Here is a 3,492-nt window from a genome sequence, read left to right as displayed (position 1 = left end):
TGCAAAAGAATTAGAACAGAATTGTGCTCCGTGTCACAGAATTATGTTCTGGGACCAACGGGGGCACTAAGGAAGAAAGGACAGACGTTCCCGTGAGTGGTGATCTCATGAGAGTAATTATTAAACCAGAAATGTGTCCTGCCCAGGAGTGGCTCCTTTAGAGCAATGACAGATCTAGTTACACTTGAAATTAGGAGAGAGGGGCCGGGCGCAGTGGCTCACGACTGTAATCCCAGCACTTTGGGAGGCTGAGGCAGGTGGATCACGAGGTCAGGAGATCGAGACCATGCTGGCTAACACGATGAAACCCCGTCTCTACTAAAAATACAAAAAAATTAGCTGGTCGTGGTGGCGGGCGCCTGTAGTCCCAGCTACTCGGGAGGCTGAGGCAGGAGAATGGTGTGAACCCTGGAGGTGGAGCTTGCAGTGAGCTGAGATCTCCCCACTGCACTCCAGCCTGGGCGACAGAGTGAGACTCTGTCTCAAAAAAAAAAAAGAAGAAAGAAATTAGGAGAGAGGATGAGCTTTTGTTGTAGCATCAAAAGAGATGGGCAATAATGAGGAAAAATAGCTTTACAATGAAAGTTATTCCAAAAATTATTTGCTATAAATGGTATAGAATCTTCTTTCTTAGAGAAAGGATACACTGTCATCTGGCTGGGGTGGCTTAACTATGTTCACTAAGGTTCTCAAGACTGCTAAACTGTTATTTTTGCAAAAACACAATAACTTTAAAAATTGGCTGTAAGCATGCCTGCTTAAGCACTCTAAATGCAAACAATTACTGCTTATATAACAGTGACTCATACCCTATGGTGTCACCTAAAACCTGACTATTCTCCAAAGCTTTCTAGTTATAGATGGAAATTCTCATACTTAAAAACTTGTAACTTACAAGCCATCACAGGTGCAAAGCTATTTTCCAGAGCAAAAGCATATCAACTCCGTCTGGCAACAAGACATGCAGTAACAATTATGCACCATCCTTTTAGTTCAAATATACTTTTGCCCGAGGCATTAGCCATTATTCTAGTGTGTATTTGCTATGTTTACACTTAGTTTTGAGATACTTTATGAACATTTACTCCAGTGTCTCAAATAAATGCAAAAACAATAAAGCTTGTAAAAAAAAATACTAGATTGAAGAAGCGGACAATCACAAATGAAACAAAAGTAGAAATATGGTATTAGAAAAAATTTTAAGAAAATGATATGTGCGTAAGACGTTTCTCTTTGGCTCATAGGAATAATTCAGTATGACAAAGCAATTTGTAGAAACTGCTGCTCTAATCATCTTTAGCAAAAGATGAGAAAGAATAACTACCAAAATGGAAAAAAAAAACAGAACAAAAAACCACAGTGAGCGTGGCAAAATTTAATGAAGAAGAAGCCTGGAAGATTATCCAAAGCTTCAGCATGGTAAAAGTAGCCAGGCACTAGGGTGGCCAGCCACACTTGTAGGTGCCTAGGTCTTTTCAGATCTGCATAATGCAAAAGTCACTGGTGACATGTCCATCACAAGCAAAAGTGAGTGGTGACACATCCATCACAAGCAAAAGTCAGTGGTGACATGTCCAACACAGATGGGGCAGCGGTTCTCTGTTGGTAGACTCCGTCCCATACAGGGGAACAAGGCTTAGTGATTAGAACAAGGCTGCAATCCGGCTTCCATTTGCCACCTCAGTTGGGTGGCCAACCTGCATCTACAAATTGCTTGCTAGAAAACTCCTCACAACACAAGTGGCACTCATCCTGAAGTGGGGATACCTACCCAAAATATTTTTGTTATAGTGAAAATCGATCTGGTTTGGAAACAGATGCCAAGTGGAACTTACAATATCAAGGAGGAAAAGACTCTGATTGTAAAGCTCTTAGAAGAACAATTCACTGTCCTACTGGATGATAATGCAGTGAGGAACCACAATCACAAGCCTCTTGTAGCCATAAGAACCTACATGGGGGAAATTGGCTTATTTACAAATTTTTAGGTATGGTTGGTGGTAGGCAAACATGTTCACCAGCAATTCCTTCTACCACTGGTTGCATGCGCCGTTTCTTCCATTAAGAAATGAAGTCTATTTCCTTTCCCCTTGAACCTGGCCAGATCTTTTAACTTGCTTTACTTGCTTTGATTTCTCCCCCTAAAAGAATATAACAGAAACGACACTCTTGAACCTCCGAGCCCAGGACTTAAGATTGACAGTTTCTTCTTTCTCCCTCTTGGAAGCCAGCTGCCATGTACATAGTCCAACTACTCTGAGGTCAATATGCTACAAAGAAGCTCAGGCTACCAAAGGAAAGATCAAATAGAGGAGAACCAAGGAACCCCAGCTATGCCCCCAGCTCATCAGCCAACTAAATGCAGTTGCTACAATGATCCCAGGCAAGACCATCAGGAAAACTTAACTGGTTAACTTATGAAATCAAGAGATATAATATATTGCTTTACTTTTAAGCCACTAAGTTTTTTGGTTGTTTCCTTTGCAGAGCCTAATTAGATCATAAAAGTAGAGGAGCTTTTGTAATAACAGATGTGTGAGCCAAAAAAATATATAAACAGATTCCTCCACAAGATTCCATGGAAACCACAGTGAGTGGCAGGATGGCAATAATCCACACATGAAGAAACAAAGGCAAAAAGAAAAATTTTCTATAAGAACCTCTGCAAATAGAAGGGCTACATTGTCACTGGAGGAACAAGAACAATGACCACTGATAAAGTCCGTTGGGAGAAGATTCCTACATGGGGTAGAAAGTTTGCATAGATCAGTGGTTTTCAAACTATTTAGCAATGGAACCCCGATTGCAAAATTAATAAAATTATATTTTATTAGTAAATTATTTTTAAGTTTAAAGCCTTCCTTTTACTTCCTATAAAAGCCACTGATATGGTTTGGCTGTGTCCCCACCCAAATCTTAACTTGAGTTGTATCTCCCAGAATTCCCATGTGTGTGGGAGGGACCCAGGGGGAGGTAATTGAATCATGGGGGTTGGTCTTTCCTGTGCTATTCTTGAGATAGTGAATAAGTCTTACGAGATCTGATGGGTTTATCAGGGGTTTCTGCTTTTGCTTCTTCCTCATTTTTCTCTTGCCACCACCGTGTAAGAAGTGCCTTTCTCCTCCTGCCATGATTCTGGGGACCCCCAGCCATGTAGAATTATAAGTCCAATTAAGCATCTTTTTCTTCCCAGTCTCAGGTGTGTCTTTGTCAGCAGTGTGAAAATGGACTGATATAGCCACTATCCATGAGATCAGTAAATGCATTTCAGTGCAAACAAACCAAGTTTAATGGCAGCTGTATTCTTTTTTTTTTTTTTTTGAAATGCATCCTAGGTCTGTCACCCAGGCTGGAGTGCAGTGGCACGATCTTGGCAACCCCCGCCTCCCGAGTTCAAGTGATTCTCCTGCTTCAGCCTCCCGAGTAACTGGTATTACAGGCACATGCCTCCATGCTTGGCTAACTTTTGTCTTTTTAGTAGAGACAGAGTTT

This window comes from Homo sapiens, chromosome 8 (genome assembly GCF_000001405.40).
Source record: "Homo sapiens chromosome 8, GRCh38.p14 Primary Assembly".
NCBI lineage: Eukaryota > Metazoa > Chordata > Mammalia > Primates > Hominidae > Homo > Homo sapiens.
Note: the sequence above shows the minus strand (reverse complement) of the source record.